Source organism: Homo sapiens, chromosome 9, assembly GCF_000001405.40.
Source record: "Homo sapiens chromosome 9, GRCh38.p14 Primary Assembly".
Classification (NCBI taxonomy): domain Eukaryota; kingdom Metazoa; phylum Chordata; class Mammalia; order Primates; family Hominidae; genus Homo; species Homo sapiens.
In genome coordinates this window covers 26,408,733-26,430,628 of record NC_000009.12, presented here as the reverse complement: position 1 = coordinate 26,430,628, position 21,896 = coordinate 26,408,733, and the positions used below count along the sequence as shown (strand labels likewise).

General features: G+C 38.3%; 1 long non-coding RNA gene across 3 annotated transcripts in view; it reads left to right on the top strand.

The window, feature by feature from the left end:
- The window catches only part of LOC105375999 (uncharacterized), a 155,489-nt gene that overhangs the window by 71,030 nt on the left and 62,563 nt on the right, over window positions 1-21,896 (top strand). For 2 of the 3 annotated variants that reach the window (XR_001746566.2, XR_001746565.1), the window contains exons 2-3: window positions 4,040-4,193; window positions 6,417-6,520. This is a non-coding gene — a long non-coding RNA (uncharacterized LOC105375999). Of the gene's footprint in view, window positions 1-3,754; window positions 3,960-4,039; window positions 4,194-6,416; window positions 6,521-21,896 lie in introns of those variants that run through there. The other variant, XR_001746567.1, reaches the window with a different exon arrangement.

The following is a 21,896-nucleotide window of genomic DNA, read 5'->3' as shown; positions in this document are numbered from 1 at the left end:
GTTTTTTCTGCATCCATTGAAATGATCATGTGATTTTTTTCTTTTTAATTCTGTTTATGTGGTGTATCACATTTATTGAGTATGTTAAACCATCCCTGCATCCCTGATATGAAACTCACTTGATCATGGTGGATTATCTTTTTGATATGTTGTTGGATTTGGCTCGCTAGTATTTTGTTGAGGATTTTTGCATCTATATTCTTCAGGGATATTGGTCTGTAATTTTTTTTTTTTTGTTATATCATTCCATGGTTTTGCTATTAGGGTGATACTGGCTTCATAGAATGATTTAGGGAGATTCCTTCTTTCTCTGTCTTTTGGAATAGTATCAGTAGGATTGGTACCAATTTGTTTTTGAATGTCTGATAGAATTCAGCTGTGAATCCATCTGGTCCTGGACCTTTTTTTCGCTGGCAATTTTTAAATTACCATTTCAATCTTGGTGCTTGATATTGGCCTGTTCAGAGATTCTGTATCTTTCTGGTTTAATCTATGAGGTTTGTATAGTTCCAGGAATTTATCTATCTCCTCCTCTAGGTTTTCTAGTTTATGCACATAAAGGTGTTTACAATAGCCTTGAATAATCTTTCATATTTTTGTGGTATTAGTTGTAATATCTCCCGTTTCATTTCTCATTGAGTTTATTTGGATCCTCTCTCTTCTTTTCTTGGTTAATCTTGCTAATGGTCTATCAATTTCACTCAACTTTTCAAAGAACCAGCTTTTTGTTTCATTTATCTTTTGTAATTTTTTTAGTTTCAATTTTATTTAGTTGTGCTCTGATCTTCATTATTTCTTTTCTTCTGCTGGATTTGGGTTTGGATTGTTCTTGTTTTTTCAGTTACATGAGGTGTGACCTTAGATTGTCTATTTGTGCTCTTTCAGACATTTTGATGTAGGCATTTAATGCTATAAACTTTCCTCTGAGCACCACCTTTGCTGTATCGCAGAGGTTTTGATAGGTTGTGTCACTCTTATTCAGTTCAAATAATTTTTTAATTTCCATCTTTATTTCATTGTTGACCCAATGATTATTCAGGAGCAGGTTATTTAATTTCCATGTATTTTCTTGGTTTTGAGGGTTCCTTTTGGAGTTGACTTCCAATTTTATTCCACTGTGGTCTGAGAAGGTAGTCGATATAATTTTGATTTTCTTAAATTTCCTGAGACTTGTTTTGTGGCCTGTCATATGGTCTGTCTTGTTGCCTGAATACTTTTTTTCATTTTGTTATTGTTACGTAGATCCTGTAAGATTTACGCTTTAAGGGGGTTCTATTTTAGTGTATTTTGAGGACTTGTTTCAAGATTTAGAGCTCCTTTTAGCAGCTCTTGTAGTGCTGGCTTGGTAGTGGCAAATTCTCAGCATTTGTTTGTCTGGAGAAGACTGTATCATTCCTTCATTTATGAAGCTTAGTTTCACTGGATACAAAATTTTTGGCTGATAATTATTTTGTTTAAGGAGGCTGAAGATAGGACCCCAATCCCTTCTAGCTTGTAGGGTTTCTGCTGAGAAATCTGCTGTTAATCTGATAGGTTTTCCTTTACAGATTACTTGATGCTTTTGCCTCAGAGCTCTTAAGATTCTTTCCTTCATCTTGACTTTAGATAACCTGATGAGTATGTGCCCAGGTGATGATGTTTTTGTGAGAAATTTTCCAGGTATTCTCTGAGCATCTTGTATTTGAATGTCTAGATCTCTAGTGAAGCCAGGGGAGTTTTCCTCAATTATTCTCTCAAATATGTTTTTCAAACTTTTAGATTTATCTTTTTCCTTGGGAACACCAGTTATTCTTAAGTTTAGTTATTTAACATAGTCCAAAACTTCTTGGAGGCTTTGTTCATTTTTTAAAATCCTTTTTTCTTTGTCTTTGATGGATTGGGTTAATTTGAAAGCCTTGTCTTTGAGCTCTGAAGTTCTTTTTTCTGCTAGTTCAATTCTATTGCTGAGATTTTCCAGTGCATTTTGCATTTCTCTGTTTCCTTGATTTCCAGAAGTTGTGATTGTTTTTATTTATGCTACCTATTTCACTGAAGAATTTTCTTTCATATCTTGTATCATGTTTTTAATTTTTTTAAGCTGAACTTCACCTTTCTCTGGTGTCTCCGTGATTAGCTTAATAATTGATCTTCTGAATTTTTTTTTTCTGGCAATTCAGAGATTTCTTCTTGGTTGCATCCATTGCTGGTGAGCTGCTATGATTTTTCGGGGTGTTAAATAACCTTGTTTTGTCGTATTACCAGATTTTTTTTTTCTGGTTTCTTCTCATTGGATAGACTATGTAAGTAGGAAAATCTGGAATTCAAGGGCTGCTCTTCAGATTCTTTTGTCCCACGGGGTGCTCTCTTGATGTCGTGTTCTCCCGCTTCCCGGAGGAACGGGGCTTCCTGAGAGCTGAACTGTAGTGACTGTTTTTGCTCTTCTGGGTCTAGCCACCCAGCAGAGCTACCAAGCTCTGGGCTGGTACTGGGAAGTGTCTGCAAAGAGTCCTGTGATGTGATCCATCTTCAGGTCTTGTAGCCATGGATACCAGCACCTGCTCCAGTGGAGGTAACAGGGGAGTGAAACGGACTCTGTGTGGGTCCTTGGTTGTGTTTTTGCTTATTACTCTGGTTTTGAGTTGCATCGTCTCCCGCCAGGAGGTGGTGCTTTCAAGAGCACATCAGAGCCGGGCGCGGTGGCTCATGCCTATAATCCCAGCGCTTTGGGAGGCTGAGGCAGGTGGGTCACCTGAGGTTAGGAGTTCAAGACCAGCTTGGCTAACACGGCGAAACCCTGTCTCTACTAAAAATACAAAAAAAATTAGCCAGGCATGGTGGCAGGCCCCTGTAATCCCAGCTACTTGGGAGGCTGAGGTAGGAGAATCGCTTGAATCTAGGAGTTGGAGGTTGCAGTGAGCGGAGATCGCGCCATTGCACTCTAGCCTGGGCAACAAAAGCGAAAATCTGTATTAAAAAAAAAAACAAAAAAAATTAGCCAGGCGTGGTGGCAGGCCCCTGTAATTCCAGCTACTTGGGAGGTTGAGGTAGGAGAATCACTTGAATCCAGGAGGTGGAGGTTGCAGTGAGCGGAGATCGTGTCATTGCACTCTAGCCAGGGCAACAAAAGCGAAAATCTGTATTTAAAAAAAAAAAAAAAGGCCGGGCGCGGTGGCTCACGTCTGTAATCCCAGCACTTTGGGAGGCCAAGGTGGGTGGATCATGAGGCCAGGAGTTCAAGGCCAGCTTGGCCAAGATGGTGAAACCCATCTCTACTAAAAATACAAAAATTAGCTGGGCATGGTGACAGGTGCCTGTAATCCCAGCTACTCGGGAGGCTGAGGCAGAGAATTGCTTGAACCTGGGAGGCGGAGGTTGCAGTGAGCCGAGATGGCTCCACTGCACTCCAGCCTGGGCGACAGAGACTCCGTATAAAAAAAAAAAAAAAAAAAAGTACAATATAGTACTATAGGGAGGAAACAAACTTGCCCTAGTGTGGCCTGGTTAAGTATCCTGGTTTCTCAGGCGGTAGGCAGGGCCGTAAAGCTCCCAAGAGATTATGACCTTTGTCTTCCGCCACCAGGGCCGGTAAAGAAAGACTACCAGGTTGGGGCAGGGATAGGCGTGTCTGAGCTCAGCCTCTCCTTGGATGGGGCTTGCTGCAGCTGCTGTGGGGGATGGGGGTGGGGCTCCTAGTCCATTGGAGTTATATTCCCAGGGAGATTATGGCTCCCTCTGCTGAGTCTGCTGAGTTGCCAGGGAAGTGGGGGAAAGCCAGCAGTCACCGGTTTCACCCCGCTCCCACACAGCCTGCAGTCCTAAAGGCCCGTCTCACTCCCACCGTGAGCAGCTTGGAGTCAGTTTCCAGGAAGCCAGTGACCCGGGCTGAGAATTTGCCTCAGACCACAAGCCTCCCCATTGAGAAAGCAAGCAGACTCAGTTTTTTGGCGTCTTAGGGACCCCGCAGCAAGTTCCTTCAAAGGGTGTGTGGATTCTCTCGGGTTTCCTGGTACGTTGCTGTGGTAGTCGCTGGAGCAAAAGTTCATGATGTAAATCTTCACAGGCTGCTCCGTCTATCCAAGTGGGAGCTGCAAGCAAGTCCTGCCTCCTCTCCGCCATCTTAACCCCTCAACCAGTAAATGTTTAAAGACACAAATCTCAAGCCCTCTCAGTCTCCACTCTTCAAAAGTCCGTCCTTTCCTGACTTTACGTGGCAGGTACAAACTTTATCATTTATTTGGGAATTAATCATATGTTGCTCTGGGAGTCTCCCTTATATTACTGCTATTTAAACCTTATAATGGTATTTACTATTTTCTCTCTTTTCTCAGCTAGATTTTGAACTCCTTGGAGGTAAGAGGAAGATTTTATAATTTTGGGTGTTCTCAGTACCCAAAATAATATTTTCTATATATTACCTCCTTGATAATGTTGGCTCATGAATTGTTAAAACACTTCAAAAAGCAATAACGGGCTCCTTCTAGAGCACAGATTTCACTGCCATTGCTTTTTCACTCTCCATTTCCTCATACATTAGGTACGTTGTCTTAGAGACTTCAGAGAAGCCCTTTTATTTCTCAAAGAAATCACAAGAAACTCTCAGGGAGAGAGAATGGAAGTTTTTTTTTTTCCTTAGGGAAAGATAAAATAGAGGGACTGTGGAAACCTTTATTTTGAGCCCTCAGTTTCTTTATTTGTAAACTTAAGGTAATAGATAGATATATTTCCCTGATAGACTTGTGATGAATGGTCAATGAGAAAATGTATGTAAAGCATGTAACAGTGCCTTGCACACGGTGAGTCATAGTAAAGGTTAGCCATTATTACTGTGAGCATTCAGTATGGGCGTGATTGTTTGAAAGAGTTTCATAGAAAAAAAGCCACTTGGAGTATATTCAATTGGTTTATTCTTTTTAAAAATAATAAACACTTACATAGTGTTCTTATTCCTATGTTTAGGTACTGTTCTAGGTTCAAACTCATTTGAACCTTTAAACACCCCAGTTAAGTACATGCCATTATTATCTTCATTTCAGAAATGAAGCCACTGACACACAAATTATCCAGTCACACAGCTACTAAGTGGTAGAGCTGGAGTTTGAACCCATGTGCTTTGGTTATAGAGTCCATGCACTTAGCCATTATAAAATAGAGGGCATCTTCTAGAAACATCTATTCAGCATCTAATTTGTGCTGGACACTGAGGTTAGACGAATATATACAGTCTCTGCTTTAGTGGCTTTCACAGAATAAGGTGGGAGATAAACAAGCCAGTACACAATTACTGATTAATATAATAGGAGCTATAATTAGGGTTATCTTATGTCCCATGTGCCTGAGATAGTCCTAGTTGATACCTGTCATTCAGCATAATTATTAATAGTGTTTAATTTGACATTCAACAGTGTGTTGGTTTAGATGATGAATTATATAGTCTCTGTTAGTTGTACTAAGGGGATGCACGAGGTATTCTCGCAGCTCAAAATGGGAAGGACTGACTTCCTTGAGTGGGGCTTCACCTGACTGAGTCTTATAGGATGAGAAGCAGTTTTTGCCAGGTAGGCAAGGGATATTTGAAGCAGAAGGGCATAGGAGTGTGAGAGTGCTGGCTGTGTTCAGAAAAGGTCAAGCAGATTGGGGGCGTATGATAAGGTGATTCTAAAACCTGGATGCACATTAGAGTCACCTGGGGAGTTGGAAAAAAACTCCATGGCCAGGTTGCACCAATTAAATCAGAATCTCAACAGCTGATTTTTAAAGCTCTCCAGGTGATTACAATATGGTTTGAGACCCTCAGAGGTAGAGAGCCCTTGAGAGACAGCAAGGATATAATGGTGGATGGGAGAGGGAAAGTAGGAAAGGACCAGCTCATGGAGGGATATCGTCATAATCAAAGGTCCTTCGACTTGTCCATGAGTGAAATTTCTGGCTTTTGGCAGAGCTTCAGTCTCGTGGGCATGGGTATCTTGAAGCCCTTTCACTACTGGCTCTTTCCTGTGAGGGCAGCAGCATGAGTCAATGACAAGCTGTGAATAGTAGCTTATAACTTGTATTCACAACCCTCGAAAAGTGAGTGTTATGGCCTAATTCCACTTGTAAAAGGTCTTTCTGTGGCCCAGAAAAATCTTTTAGCAGTGCTAAGACTGCCAAATATTATTAGACATGTGAGGCAGAATATACTTTTATATGATAAGGATGAGCATGAGAATACCTTAGAACAATTTTTTCTATGAAAAAGAATCCCTAAAGTACATATATATGACATATATATGTCTCCATAGATTTCTGTGAAGAAAATTGAAGTTATTTTTTCCTGTCTCTTGATAGGAAACTAGCCCAGCTAGTTGTTTAAAATGGAACATGTTAATTATCAGGACTGATTTAGTGTATAAAAGTGAAATTAGAAGGGTTAATAATGATGTCCATACTTTATCTTGCAGAAAGACAATCTGCCTTGCAGCAAGTTTATGGATAACACGGAGTTCCCCTGCAATGAATATGTGAACCCTCTGTTCTTCAGGATAGCACTTGGGATGATGTGGAGGTAAACTCGACTGAGCAAGTAGGTTTTACTGAGCCAGGGCAAGAGAGACCCTTGTTTTGGGCTCCATGTAGTACAGGCTCCGATCTGGTTCTCTGGTCCTACCCTTTTACATGGGGCAGTGTGTCTTCAGAGCCACCTGGAGTCCTCATGGCCACCTGGTGCCTACCACCCTCATTTCTGGACATGTTTTATGTACCTGAGACCCTGGAATTCCTAGATTCTAGAGCTCACAGAGGCCTCTTCCTTAGGAATTTCCTCTGGGAAAGAACCAACCATGATGTCTGTGGATGTGTCAGTGGGCTTGATGGGTAGTTTTGGGGTGGTCAGTGGGGATGGGGCTTGGATATGCGTGATCCACATGCATAGACGGCTGACTTAATTGGAGCACACATGTGTGTGCAAGTCCTCTCATTGTGTAGGATAGAGCTGGGGTGGAAAGAGAAGGAAGAGCTGGCTTTTCCCACGATACTATGTCTTGGCGCAGAACTCCAAGTCCTCTCACAATTATAAATTTGAATCTAGGCTTCCACGTCATTATGAAGGTACTTCTGTCTAGGTTATAGGAAATAATCTATAATATTCATTTAAATTTTGTCAGGTGTTTTATGCATTTCAAATATTTAGGAATATGGATTTTCATTGGGACTCTTGACCTGGACATTTCAAAAGTTAGAGACAAGCCTAAACCAGGTCACAAAAATGCTACATAGAGAAACTTGAATCACCTGAGAGAAGGGTGGAAAAACTATATACCTGCTTTTTTCTAATTAGCTGAACTTTATTCGTCCAATATTTTATATAACATCACATTAAACAATTCATCCAACTATTGTTCCGGCACTGAATGTAGGTGAGAAAACTACTATGTCAAAATCTGTGACTAGATCAGAACCTTCTATTGCAGAACCGGGAAGAGGAGATCTTGCTTGTATCTTGGAACTTGCTGGTGAATCCTGTAAGGGGTGAAATCAATAGTAATTCAGTACCTCCCAAGTGTTAGGCACTGTATTAACCACTTTGCTTTTGTTAAATTTTATTCCTTGCAAAGCAGGAATTATTATTCAAATGTTAAAAATGTAGAAACCTTTGTTCGGGTGATTAAACAACTTGTCTAGGGTCCTGGATCTATTTATTGGTCTCTAACCAACTCAGCTTCTAGAACTCATGCTTTTTCCTAACTCTGATTCCCTTCCATAAGAATGGGGAATGTCCTTCAAGACAAAATTACAAGCAAAGTCATTTTTACTAAGAAGTTGAGTTTGGCTTTTTGAAAATGGCTGTTATTTTCTTCCTTGCATTTCAACACCCCACCCAGCTGTCTGCCTTCCTTCTTTGCCTTTTGAGTAAATCATTCTAATTATTAACTTTGTAAATGAAGCTCTAAATAAGCTATTTAAGTTTATTCCTATTACATGGGGCAACGGATTAGAAATCCAGTGCCACCTGAGGTGGGAACGTGTTAGATTTCCATGCTAATGCCTCATGCATGTTTTATGCCTTAGATTAGTAGCTAATGTGGTCATTGATCATCTTGTGTCATATGAGCTACAAACCTGCTGCTTTGAGCTAATTCTTTTAAAAACTTGTTTCCAAATCAGTATTCAAAGTCCAGACCAAGGTTTCTGGTTGGGAAAAGAGGTTATATTTGCTTTTGTTGAGGGGTCAAAAACATTTTTGTACCTATTTATCCTCTTTGTAGATAATAAACAGTGTAATATATCATTGGAATAAGTTAAGTTTGAGAAACTGACAAAGCAAAAATATTTCCTAAAATCTAGACCTGAAAGCACCTTTATATCCTATGTAGCTCCTTTCTGTGCTGCTTATAAGTAAAAAAATGGTAAAAGCTATCATTTGAAAGGCTATTCAATTTGTATTTGAATTTCTTAAGCATTTATCCTATTAAGTAGGAAATTGAGAGCATTTTTACTTCAAGTTATATAGCTCTGCCATTAGTGCGGTCAAGTTCACGTTCTGCTCCATCCACTTAGGAACTGTGTGACCTTAAACAAAAATTTTATCCCTGAGTCTCAATTTCTTTACTGGAAACATGAGGCACGTGATAGTGCTTTCCTCAGAAGGTGGTTATCAGGGTCAACTGAGGCAATGAATTTAAAACATTTACTCACATATCTGGCAGTTAGTAAATACTAATGTAAACAGTTGTGATCATTTGAATCTTCTTCCATGTAGAAAGTCATCTTGGCTAAAATATGACAAATAAAAATGTAACTGAAGAAATGGGGGTGGTAGGAGCTCATCTTGCCTCTTTCCTGCTTAGGGGTAGAAACCAGCCACAAGTCAGTCCTATGCATTGGAGAGCTGGTGATAGGTTTTATGTTTACTGTTCAGTAAGGACCCTTTTAGTCTTTTTAGAATCTGAGTTGAACTTGCAGCTAAGTCAATAATAGAGCAAGAAGTAAAGGACATTGAACAATGCCAACTTCGAGTGGAGCAATCTCAGTACTGGGCAGGGAAACATCCCCTGCAGCCTAGAAAGAGCAAGTTCACATTGAGATTGACACAGTTGGTCACGAAGAGGTATCCTACCACCATTAAGAGAAATGCCAATGCTTTTCCTAGTTCTCTTGATGTCCTCCTCTTTCTATGCATACATCTCTGAAAATTTCCACATTAATATATTCCTAGATGGACAGGGGTAGCCCATTTTAAAAAGAATTTGTGGGGGAATTTCTCCAGGAGCAATCATGAGGGAGCCAGGGCTGCTTTGGTGCCGGCAGAGTGCTGGATCTGTTAGGCTCTCAGCTTGGCTTGCAGCTCTTTTTTGGTTGCAGCTACCTCACAAGAGCCTGGGGAGCATTAGGCAGCCATATGTGTCTCTGGATGATTCTCTGGCTGACAATAACTTCATGAGTTTCAGGCTCAAGAACAGAAGTTTTGGTGATCAGGGAATATTTGATTCAACAAGAAAGTCCCTGAAGTGTAAGTGGAACTAATCATGAGGAGTTGAAAGGGTTGGGACAATTATGTCTTTAAGTGTTGGCTGGGAAGTTTCTTATATAATCTTGTGTTTTCTTTAATGGCCAGGGGGATTGGGTTGAAGCTGTCACCAAATCTACAAACCTGTTGCAGAATTCAGTTAGTTTTGCTCTTTTCTTTGTGATCCTATGCAGTATATTTTAAATTATAACAGAATGTTTCACAGATAATTACAGGATAGTTTCCTGGCAGGATACCTGCAGTTTTCCTGATCCTTTTTATTTCTACATACAGAGTAACTTTAGACATAAAATATGTGTATGTTTGCTAGTTAGGCTCTCCTCTTTTAAGTAGAGATCAGATATATAATTTTATAATTCATTGAGAACAATTTTGTTTAGATATTTTGTCTTCTCTGTTGAATGTATGATTAGGATTTTTTGTTAACAAATCAAAACACCTTTCAGATTTAGCTTAAGCATTACCCAGGCTCTTAGTATAATGATGAGAACATGATACATGTGTAGCACATTGACAAATGAAAAAGCTTGAATTGCAATAAAGAAAAATACAGGTATTAACCTAAAGAAGGAAGTTTTCAGATACTCAAGATGGTAGTAGTAGGCTTACTTGGTCGTAGAGTTAAAGTAAATGTTCTAGATACATTAGACTGCAAAAATAAATCGGAATAAAACTATGGTTGCGACCATTTTCAGAAGAAAATACAGGAACTGAAAATTGCTTTCTGTATTAAAGGATGGAATAATAGTGTAGAAGAATGTCATAGAGTGCAGGCTCTGGAGACAGACTGCTGGATGCAAATCCTGAGATTGCTCTTTTGATCCATGGGATCCTGGGCAAGTAGCTTCGTTTCCTCTTTTGTAAAAGAGGCATAACAATAATATCTGCCTCAGCGGCATGTTGGTAGGATTTAAAGAAGTAGCTCACATGAAGGGCCTGGCCAAGAGTAAACACTTAATAATGAGGACCATTATTATTACTACCATTTATTATTCAGGAGCATCATAAACCTTTTACTAGAACATCTTGAGAAGATGTGAGTGTTTTTCTTGGGTTTCTGATTTTTGAAATCTAATTTCTTAGAGATGCCAGAGGCAGAGAAGATGTAGTCAAAGGTGACAGTGTCTGTAGTGGCCTGATTATGTGTTAGATTTCCAGCTGGTCTCCAGATCCTGTACCGATGCTCTTTCCCTTTTCCCTTACTGTGCTGTTCTCTGCCCTGGTGACTTTGCTGGGCTCAACAGTTGCTTTAGTGGCATAGCCAGGACTATGAGATTTGTCCTGCTTTCCTCTTTCTTAATCAGATCCTGAAATTGATAAAGATAGCATGCTATCAAATCTGAGGATACCATTGCTCTGAGAGGGAGAGCTAATGCCTGGATAACCAAGCAAGGATTCAGAGGTCACGACTAAACTAAAAGATAAAATTTACTAAGATAAATACATAGTTTATTTTTTAAACTTTAATATAAATGATATTCAAGCACAGGCTTGGACAGAGTTGACTCAATAATCTAGGTAATTTTCTTGACTTAAAGGTCAGAAAGAGATAGAAATATGAGCTGGTGCCTATTACATTCTGTACCACAGTTGACTATTGCTGCACATGCAGGATTTGGTCTAAACTCCTCAAGTCCTTAGATCTAAAATGATGTTCATCAGCATGGGAAGACTAAGCAGCTATCTAGACTCACTCACTAGGCAAGTGGCTTACTGGTAAATACTAATCTTGAAGTGCATGTGCTAAAAATTAAGCCATGATTTTATCTTCGTTATTTAATAAAAGCAGACTATAAAAAACACATTCATATTCTCATTATGGTATGCATTTCAAGGATTTACTCGTGGCTTACAAAAAGTCAGAAGTAGCATTTAATCAGAAATGCTAAGGTTCTTTGGTCTACCAGAGACAAGGACAAGGGAGGGTAGAATTCCAGTACTATTTCTAATGGTCAGCTCATATCTGAAATATTGTGTTTTAGTCTTGATGCCATAACTTAAAATTGTTGTTGACGAACAATTGTGGTTAGGGGAGAGCAATCAGAATGTGGTAAGAATGGGAAGTATGTCATAATAAAAAATGTTGACAGAACTAGTAAGTGTTTAGTTTGTAAAAAGGAGGTGTGAAGGAAACGTGGTTGCTCTTTTTATATACTTGAAGATATGTCACAAATAGAGGCATTTGATTTATTCTGAGTTGCTCTAAGGGGTTGATCCAGGACCAAGAGATATAAATATCAGTTATATAGATTCGATAGAGGAAGGACTTGCTGAACAGGAGATGCTAAAAAATACCATGGGTGGCCTAGAGAGAAAATGAGCATCCCTCTTTATAACTGCTTAAGCAGAGACTGCCTAACCACAGATACTGAAAGACTGTCTAGTATAATGGGTAAGCACTGGCGCTGGCATGGATGCTCTTCTGGGCTCTGTCTCTGCCCGTTGCTAGCTAGGAGATCACAGAGAAGTTATCCTATGACTCTTTGTCTCAGCATCTGCTTTGTAAATCCTCATGGATATTCATGGGTGTAAAGTAACACATAGTGACAATGCAGCAAGTGTTAGCATTTTGCATGATTGTTATCTAGAAATGGCGTAGAGGGGATTTCTGTGAAAAGTAAAAGGTTTTGTCAGAGTTTTTCTATTTTAAGGCTATTGCTACAATTACTTGTAATGGTACTGTCAAACTCTGTTAATTTTATGGGTAGACCATGGAGCCTATAAAACACCATATGTCTCCAAACAGGGACAATATGATATATTTCACTTTACTACCATAAATAAAACCCAGTACAAATGGAGACATATAGATAAAATGAAAGAGATGGGCATATATTTTGTAAGGCTGTACATTGATAGCTATTCTGAAGAGACTGGCTTAAGCGTTAATTTTGGGAATTTATGTTGCCCATTCTATCTGTGAGTTATATTGTGCATAAACAGCATAAGGTATTTTATGTTAATTCTTGAGAGCGCTTCTTTAAATTTCATGTGAGTAAACCAGCCATACTGTTAACAATATAATTTGGGTTAAATTGAGCTCCTAGTAAATTGTGAATGGTTTGTTATTATTCACTAGAATGCATTTACCCTGCTAATGCAGTATTGCAGCTTTTTATTATATGTTAATAGTTTAACAGCCAAAGTTAAATGCTATTAATAAAATGGTGCAACTAATAGATCTCATTTGTAGTATTCTATGGTTTTCTTCAACAATTTATTAGTAAAGTTGAAATATGTGATGTGAGAAAAAGAATACAAAACAAAAGCAATTATTAGACTCGACACAGAGGATGGAAAACTTGAATTGCATGGTCTCAGCTAAAGCAAAGCAAGGTGTGGCACAGTGCCTGGTACATTGCTCTACAACAGCTTAATGCATACTGTTTGGTCAAGAAACAGTTCTATTGATGGCTTTATTCCCTTAAATTAGAATTCTTATTCTAGCTGTGTACCTACAGGTAAACTAAGCAGAGAATTGATATTTGTTTGCTAGATTAAGAAAAAAAAGTATATGAATACTGTGTTCTATTCTCTCTTCATTTTCTGGTATAGTAGATGATTTCTCTCCTAAAGATAATTTCTACTAGCTTTCTACTTTATTTTGTCTATGTAGAAGTGAATGATATGATCATAATATATAATAGAGTAGAAATGTGGGAGATTTTAAATTTTTCCAAACATGAGTTGGGTGTTCTTGAGCAATGAGTACATCCCTATTAAAAATAATTGAGATAAATCTAGAGTCCAGTTTTCAAGTCTAAAAGCATAATGACATAATTACAGAGTAGAAGAAATATAACTTCATGAATATAAGTACAAGGTTTTAGGGGATGTCCTCCACAGTGCACTCAATGTCAGTCAATAATGTGATTAAACCTCTGAGAACGTAAACACATTATCCTGCTGCCCTAGTACCCAGAGGGAGGGCCAAGACTCCTGTTCTACCCAGCACTAGTCAACAACTGAGAGTATTGGGTCATATTAGAGAAAATGTACTTTATGAAAATGCACATAACATTCTAAATCTAAATCCAGGAGTCAAAAATCTGTTTTCTGCTAGAGGTCTTCATTGTCTTTACAGATGCACTAGGACTCTTCTGCCTTGCATTTCTTCCCATCAAAACTTGCCTGACCTAGGTTTTTTTTTTCTGTCAGGATCCTCCTAGGGAATTGGCTAATTACCTGGATTAATTACAACCAAAGAGTTGGTGGCTTATAACTTGCTATATCAAAATCACATTTCTACTTCAATAGCATTTACTTACCCATAGCTTTTTCCCCAGTGTATAATGTTGGTAGGGCTTTCTCACATTAGATTAGAAACAATGGGTGAGATATGAGGAAAGCATCTTTCTTCCTGCCTTTCACATAATGCAAACACTGGAAAGTTTACATTCTTTTATTTGTTAATCTATTTATTTAATCACAAACATCTATTAAGCTCCTACTATTTTCAAGTCATTCTGAAATTCTCTAGATAAAATACAGAGATGAATAAGACATATCTCTTAAGGATATTACAGTTTAGTAAGATAGATAATAACAAATACATGACTAATAATAGTACAAGGCTTAATGGGATAAGGACCATAGAAGAAGGAGGTGGGGAACAAAGTAGCCTGGACTTAAAGAGAAAGGATCTCTTGTCAATTAAACCGATTAAAGAGTCCTTCATGGACAAAATAGTCTTTCATTTGAGTTTTAAAAGATGGATGGAATTTCTAATAGGGATATATATGAAGGTTTGAAAGGGTTTTCTAGATGCAACATCATGAACAAATGTAGGAAATATGAGAAGTACAGAGAAGTCCTATCATGGAGTATAGCTTGCAATAAGGAGATATAGGAAGATCGGTAACTTTTAAGTGACTTCTCCTGAAGTACTGAAGATTAAATCCTTGGTTATTTGTAGTGATTAGCCTAACCTGAACTGTTGTTGAATATCAACAGGCACTGTCTTTTGAACTGAGGATACATTGATAGTTGATATTTTGGAGCTCACTGTCCAGTAAGAGTTAAAGTATTTTGTTATTTACTATAAAGTGAAGAGAAAAAGGTGCTAATGGAGGTATGAACAAACTAGTATTCCACCAAGAAGGCCCTCTTGCCCATGGGATTTTCCTCTTATTTCCAGATCATAGAAATTACCATAAAATGTTTTTAGCATTATGCAAGTATTTATAGCATGTCTGATTTTTAACCATGCTCCTAGCCAAAATAAATAATTGTAAGATTTTTATTTAGTATATCTCCATCTTCGTTGATTTTACCATTATGTAATCTCTCTCTTCCTCACCCTCTTCCCCCTTTCCCTCTTTTTTTCCTTCTACTAATATTTACTGAGTGGATCCAATGTGCTAGGTACTGCAGTGGAGGCTGATTTAGTGATGTATGAGGCATAGTTCCTGGTTTCTGATGACATCAGCCTAGATAAAGCTGATAAGTGCCTATACTCAAGAGGGCAGCCAATATACATAGATCAAGGCATTCATTCTCTTCAAGAAACAGAAGGTAGATTCGCTTGCATTTACAGTGTGCAGATAGTTTCTGTGAATGTGGACTCTATGAGAAGGCTTCGTAAAGTACCTATTAACCCCTCTTTGTGTCTTTAGGTTAGCCTATCCCTGTACCTGCCAAAAACAAGGAGGATGATTGAAAGCAAAATCCCCATACCTCTTTTCTGGAGTGTTAGCCTTATTCCAAAGTACAGCCACTTGATTTTCCCTCTAGTCTGAACTCCATTTCTCCTCATGTCCACTTATAACCCATGTATAATTAAAACCCAGGCTTCTTTGTAGAAGTTTTATTTGTAGTAGCTAAAACCTGGAAGCAACTCGGATATCCACTGCAGGTCAACAGAATAGCAAATTGTGGTACATTCAAACAATAGAATACTATCCGGCAATACCAAGAACAAACTGTTGACATATACAACAACATGGATGAATTTTAAAATAGTTACGCTGAGTGAAAGAAGGCATATGAGTAAAAATACATACTATATGATTTCATTTCTATAACTTTAAAAAATGCCAACTAACCTGTAGTGATAGAGAACAGATCAGCGATTGCCTGGAGGGAAGGCATATGGGGAGACTCAGGAAGGAAGGATTACAGAAGAACATGAGAAAACTTTGAAGTGATGGATGTGTTCACTATCTTGAGTATATAGTGATATTCTCATTGGTATATACATGTGTCAAAAGTTTATTGCGTGTCAATTATGCTTCAACAAAGCTGCCAAGAACAAAACAAAAACAGGCTCCTACTGTAATTATTTGATCTCTGATTCCTTTAATAGACTCTAAGTAATGTGATGAGAGTGAACAGGACATCCTTATTCAGTGATGTATCCCCAGTAAATGGTCCAAAGTGGATATTCAGTAAATATTTGTCAAATGAATAAGAAGTGGTTAAAATAAATTACCGTTGAGCTATATAATATTTTGATCTTGCTTTGGTTCACATATTAAAATGCTGATCATGTCAGAATATTATTCATTACCCATATTATTTCCCTTGTTGTAAAGTCAACTATAGCATAAATGTCCTTGAAGTAGATTTTTTTGAAAAGACAACTTTATTCCAAATGTACGATAAACCCAAAGTGAACTATCAATTTTAATAGGAATTTTTATTAGAAATTAAAGCCACAAAAAGTTAGTAAACATCAATACCCAGCTAAATATGTTGCTTATAATATTTAATATAAGTTAACTTATAAAGGAATACCACAGTGTGTAATCCCATTTGGGTAAGTGAATTAATGTTATAATAAAATAACTACTAACTTCAGCTTTGCCAAATGTTTACGACTACAGATGATGTCCATCACATCAGTGGGGAGACTGAGTTCAGTTTCTTTAGTTTATGAATATGGTTTCTGAACAGGGATGGGAGGCAGAAGTCTGCAGTCTATGTGCATCCTTTTTATTACTTTCAGCGTCATCATTTTTAAATTCTGATTTTCTTTTTGGCTTAGAGGTTGTTAGTCATTCAGAAGTTGCCTCTACAAAATTTTTGACTCTGAGGCATTTGAGAAATTATGAGGCAGTTAAACCTGGAGTCTGTCTTGGAAACTGGTCTATCATTTTCTTCCTAGTACCCTCAATGGCAACACCATTATGCATTAAAATGGTAAAAGCATACATTGCGACAATCCCATAAACAGCCCTCTATATAAATGTAAACACTGAGGCCGAATTGCCTCAAATGTGGCAGCTCTTACTTTTTAACAGTGTTTTATATTCTTCATACTTATTCATTTCACTGACTCCCTGCTGCAATACTCACTTTGCCTGCCAGCTTCCCTTGCCTTAAAATAGTTGTTTGAGCAGCTGTGAATGCTCTCGATGACAATTGCTTTTGTGATTTACTCAAAATCCTGACAATTTTTAGGTCTGGAAGAATAAAAAGCCTAAGATCTCTGGGGATATCACTGTTCAAGATCATATTTAATCTTCCTGTACTGTCTTCCCTTAGTACTTTTCTGTTTCAGTACACTGCCACGGGAGTTGTGAAAGACACCCTCTCCCATTGCCCCCCCTCTGCCAGGTATTATCTTGAAGCTCTGTTCTTTTATTTCATTTGGTGCCAATAACACATTTTTTTTTTGGCTGCATTCACCAAGAATAATAGATACTAGCTCAGCTTGCAGGGTATAATTTGTCCCCTAGCATTCATGTTCTAAGTTGCTGTTAAACTATCTGTTGAATATTTGAGGATTACTTTTTAAAATGTGGTCATTAGTACTGCTTCATCTTTGGTTGACAATAGGAAACTGAGAAAATTAAGAAGAATTAGTTGGTCCTGGATCTTGAAAGTCTAAATTCATTATAAATACAAAGAAACTCCTATTTCATAGAGCTTCTCTGTGTGGTTTTAAAACATTGTGACGAGAAAAACTGCATTGTCTAACTTTTAAAAAGTCACCACTTTTCCATAGGCAAATTAGTGAAGAAAAAAGTCTGTTGTGACTTGATGAAAAGCCCACAAATATACATAGATATCAGACACTTGACGTTAGCATAAAGATAAAAAAATGGATCCACACCAGTCAAGTGTATATTTCCCCATTTACATGATAATAAACATTTCTTGTATCTTTCAAACTGTTTACGTAGATTCCTTTTCCTTATGACTTATGAGATTTTTGCAAACCTTTTAGGATATTTCTCAGTTAACGCCTATAAAAATATAATTGACACTAGGTATAGTTGCCCTAAAAAATTGGAAGAAATAATGTCTACAATTTGTCTAAATGGTTTACATATTTTGTTTTGCTACCAAAAAAAAAACACAAAAACCCCAAACCTATTGAGTTAGTAGTATAATGACCCTCATTTTACAGATGAGAAAGTGAGAAAACTGAAGCTTGGAAAGTTTTAAAAATTTTCCCAAGGACTCATACTTAACTGGAAATCCAGGCTGAACTCAGGCCTGTGGGGACCAAAGCCTGTATCCAGTCTAGCCATAATACCCCTGAGATGTGCTGAACTTTCCTTAGGATGCTGTGGAAGGAGAAAATAGTATGTTTCCTCTCCAGTTTGGATGTCTGCCATAAAGCAAGCCATAAAGTATTAGAAGTAGTTTTGTAGTGAGTTTAAATACAGAATTGAGGCGGGAGAGGTGTTGTTGAATTATTTTTGTGTTTTCAGGTTTAATTGTGAACAGAAGTAACCTAGGCATTGTCTTGGTCTGTTCTGTCTACTAAAAAATACCATAAACTGGTAGCTTATATACAAAAAAATTTATTTCTCACAGTTCTGGAGGTGGAAAGTCCAAGATTAAGGAGCAAGCAGACTCAGTGTCTGGTGAAGGCCTGCTTCCTGTTTCATAGACAGTTGTCTTTTTTTGCCATGACCTCATGAGACAGGAGGGTTAAAGGAGCTTTTTGAAGTCCCTTTTATGAGGGCACTAATTTTATTTGTGAGGGCTTTTCCCTCATGAACTAGTTACCTCCTGAAAGCCCCACCTCCTAATACCATCACCTTGGTGGTTACGATTTCAACATAAGAATTTTGGTGGGGGACACTAATAGCTGGTCTGAAGCAGCCATCTTTGGAAATTTTTACTTAGCCTCATGTTTGAAGATGATGATTCACTAGGCTTTAGGGCCCAGAGAGTAAAGGGTGATTTAACATTTTTCTCAGGTGATTCTCATGGGGGTTATTGGGTTAGATGTCTTCTAAAGGATCATGTAACCTTGTGATTTTATTAGTATGACTTGAGGATTCCCGGAGTTGGTCGCATCTCACCATTCTGCATCCTCTGCACCATTTCCCACACTCAGAAAAGCATTCCTTTATTGTGCAGTGCTTTCTCTTATTCAGATGAAGAAATTGCTGGGAAGTCACATTTTGTACATGATCAATCACATGCAATTTAGAGAGTAGTGTGGTGTCTGAAAGATAGCACTAAAATTCGGAAGTGCTTCTTTCACCGTCCCAGAATGACTTTATTCGTTCTTTTATATCCATTACTTTCACAAACCTGAAGAATAAAGGATACTCAACATTTTTTTCTATAAAATTGGCATATGACCTGTTACCCACCAACATTGATTCAACAAACTTTTTGTCAGCTAGTCTGAAAAAGAAAAAAAAAACCCAAAAACAAAACAAAAAAACCAGACACTGTGCTAGATGCCTTGGATACCTAGGTGAGCAAACCAAATTCAACTCTTTTCCGGACAAGATACTATAACCCACTGAAGCAAATGGACCAATGAAAGAATCTGAGAATATAGATTTGCCATCAAGTGAAAGCTGCTTGTCAAGTGTTGGCCTTGTGGAAGAGACTACTAATTGTTGCCTAATATTTGTTTTTCTCATCATCCACATAAGAGAATTTGAAGCTGTATGCAGAAAACATCAGCCAATCTTTTTTTTTTTTTTTTTTTTTTTTTTGCAGTGAAGTGTGGTCATGTAACTAAGTTCTGATCAACAGAATAAATTTGAAAATACATGTGGCAGTTTCTAGATACCTGATGGATATCCTTTGTCTCTTGTTTTAGTCCCTTTCTTCTGTCCTGCTGATTGGAATGTGGACAATGGCCAGAGCTGCATTTGGATCAAGAGAATGAGGGAGACTCCATAAGCCATAGTAGAGCGAAAGACCAGAGAGGGCCTGAGTCCCTGGGAAGTTTGGGAAACAAAGCCACCATCCTATCCCTGGATTGTCTTCCTTGGGAATTTTACATGGTATTCTGAGAATAAATTGTGGGAAGATGGGGATTTGATCTAGTCTGGGAATCAGGAAACTATTTCCCAGAAGTGGTGAGACTTGAGCATGTATTTGAAGGTGAGGTAGATGAAGTACTGAGGATGAAGTGTACCAGGGGGAGGAACAGTAAGGGAGGATTTCAATCTATAGGAAGAAGATTACTGTGAGAAAATAATGCATGTGAAAATAATTTGCAAAGTAACATTGCTCTAACTGTTAAGATACTCCTGTTATAAAGTCTGTGCTTCTCAGTTCACGATTCAAGGACTGCTTGCAATTAATTAACTGCCCACATCTTACCACTTTCATCGCTCATTACCCTCTGTCACAGATTTCAGACTAGGCTCATCAGTTTGAAGTTTCCTTCTTGCATTCTTCTCTACTAACCTTTGCTATTTTCAAATGACCATTTAAACTCTGTCTCCGTCATGGAGAATGTTCTAAATAACCCTATCCTCCTCCCCAGAGCTCTGATACCTGCAGTTCCTTCATCTGTTTTCATCTGTACTCATTCTTAGGCTATATGACTTTCCCTATATTTTTCTTCTATATCTGTTTTCTCCATTTCCTATATGGATTATCTAAGAGCAAGGACTATTACCATACTATCTTTTATATCCTGGAATGCCTAACTTAGACTTCTGGCCCAGTACATTTTGTTGACTGAATGGCTTGAGCTGGGTTGAAAATCCTTTCCAGCAGTCCTGCCCATAGATGCTGACTGTTTAGTGATGAGGCTCTTTGAGGACCAGTCAAATGTAATCATTCCTCATCTTGAAAGCTTCAATATTAAGGTCGGCCCTGAAAAATTCATCAGGGGAATAAAATTTTGCTTATCACGTCTGCTGCCTTGAAGGCCTTTGGGTAAACGATGGCGGATGGATTGAGGCTATAATGGCCAAATGCAATATTAAATCCACTTTCTGTCTCTCACTGGTCTGCCTGGTAGATTTTGATGTATTGAGTTTTACATTTAGGAACCAATTTCCTTTTGATAAATTCATGCTCCAGGCTGTACAGGGCTGGCCATTGCATTAGAGACATTCAGACAAATGATCAGGTATGCAGGCAGAGTATGTCATCCATGAGGTGAGTGGCTTCTCCTGAGGTCTTTGATGGTGGAGAGCTTTTGACTCTTACTCAATTCTGGCACTGCTGGCTATGAAAATAGGTGAAGAGAGTTTGCCGTCTTTGGGGACTTTTCTACCTCACATTCATTCAACCTTTGCACTTGAGTCCTTCCATAAAAATTCAGTGCTAACACTGATAAGCAAAATCTCAGCTGCACAGAGCCAGGGGAAAATTAATTACTGTAGATAGTTGAGGTTCCATATTAATTGAAAGAGCTGACCCAGCTAATGTAAGTATATTTTTTCAATTTAAACATTTTTGAAGAGACTTTCTTTAAAATTTTCCATTTGCCTCTTTGCCTTTTTACCTGTAAAATATGCAAAATATTTCCATTTTAAAAAGATTCATTTATTCAAATAACATTTGTTGAGTATCTATTATATGCTAAACACTAAAGATAGAAGTATAGAAAATAGTCTCTGACCTGAAGGAGCTTACAGTCTAGAAAGTGATTGGCAAACCTTTTCTGTAAAGGGGCAGATAATCAATATTTTTGGATTTGCAGGCCGTGTATTCTATATCACAACTAGTCTGCCATGAGAGTGCAAAAGCAGCTATAAATTCTAAGCCCATTTTATTCATTTGTCAAACACCTAGTCATCATTAAGACTCTCAGACTGTTCGGCTGGGCGCGGTGGCTCACGCCTGTAATCCCAGCACTTTGGGAGGCCGAGGCGGGCAGATCACGAGGTCAGGAGATTGAGACCATGCTGGCTAACACGGCGAAACCCCATCTCTACTAAAAATACACAAAATTAGCCAGGCGTGGTGGCGGGCGCATGTAGTCCCAGCTGCTCGGGAGGCTAAGCAGGAGAATGGCGTGAACCCGGGAGGCAGAGCTTGCAGAGCAAGACTCTGTCTCAAAAAAAAAAAAAAAAAAAAAAAAGACTCTCAGACTGTTCGTAGGAAACATTTCCTAACCATGACAAGTAGAAAAAAGCTACTCCCTCTTCTGTTCTGCTGTATTCAGTACGGCTCTTTATCAGAGAACCTCTAACTCTCTCCTTTGTCTGTTTTCCATTTGTAAAAGGAGTCCAAGCAGAAAACAGAGTCTCAG